Source organism: Homo sapiens, chromosome 16 (assembly GCF_000001405.40).
Source record: "Homo sapiens chromosome 16, GRCh38.p14 Primary Assembly".
In the NCBI taxonomy this organism is placed as follows: Eukaryota; Metazoa; Chordata; class Mammalia; order Primates; family Hominidae; genus Homo; species Homo sapiens.
Genome location: NC_000016.10, coordinates 59,320,822 through 59,321,797, shown reverse-complemented (window position 1 = coordinate 59,321,797; position 976 = coordinate 59,320,822). Strand labels below are relative to the sequence as shown.

Here is a 976-nt window from a genome sequence, read left to right as displayed (position 1 = left end):
ACACGAGTTTTACTCTCAATTCTTCTTCTCGTTGACTTCAAGATCTGACACAGTTTGCACTGTGTCAGTTTTCTCATCTGCATAAAGGAAGCATATTTTACTGCTCATCACAAGCTTCAAAGGCAATGTATGAAAAGTGGCCAGCATAGTAAACACTCAATAAATGTGATCAATTATTAATTTTAGTATTATGTTATATATGCATGCATAGCCTAGACCTTCTGCTTATTTTTCACCTTCTCAATAATATTTGCACAAAGTAAGGCTGGGCAAGTATGTTCAAGAAATGTCCTACAGTAATTCTCACTGGATCTGCAAAATATTCATAAAAAATTATGATGTTATCTTTAATTTTTCTTTAATTTCCTTTTTATCCGGGCTGATATATTTTTGTTATTAATCCTATTTTAACCTTCCCTTCCCTTTCCTTGTCTAAAATTATGAATGTCATTGTATTTCAACAGGTAGTTATAATTAATCTTTTTTTTTTTTTTGAGACGGAGTTTCACTCGTCACCCAGGCTGGAGTGTAGTGGCATGATCTCAGCTCACTGCAACCTCCGCCTCCTGGGTTCAAGCAATTCTTCTGCCTCAGCCTCCTGAGTAGCTGGGACTACAGGCGCACGCCACCATGCCCGGCTTATGTGTGTATTTTTAGTAGATACAGGGTTTCACCATATTGGCCAGGCTGGTCTCGAACTCCTGACCTCATTATCCCCCTGCCTCAGCCTCCCAAAGTGCTGGGATTACAGGCATGAGCCACCATGCCCAGCCCTATAATTACTCTTCAGGCTGTTTATTCAGGTATCTATGGGAACAGAGAAAAGAGAACCCAAATGTAGCCAGGTCAGGTAGGGTGTCAAGAAAGGCATTTAGGAAAAAGTGACAACCCTAGAGTTACTTTTGAAATATCAGTGAGCATTAGAGGAAACAAAAGAGGGGCTCCAGTGTCATGCAAATGTGCTGCCTCTAGTAGC

At 40.3% G+C, this 976-nt stretch overlaps 1 annotated feature.

Moving 5' to 3' along the window:
* Positions 571–775: a silencer, noted in NCBI's record as "fragment chr16:59354927-59355131 (GRCh37/hg19 assembly coordinates)". NCBI's record gives its function as "represses an EF-1alpha promoter that drives an FKBP-Casp9 reporter gene in an ReSE screen in phorbol 12-myristate 13-acetate-treated (for megakaryocytic differentiation) K562 erythroleukemia cells {active_cell/tissue: K562(+PMA)}" and the evidence as "EXISTENCE:reporter gene assay evidence [ECO:0000049][PMID:32094911]".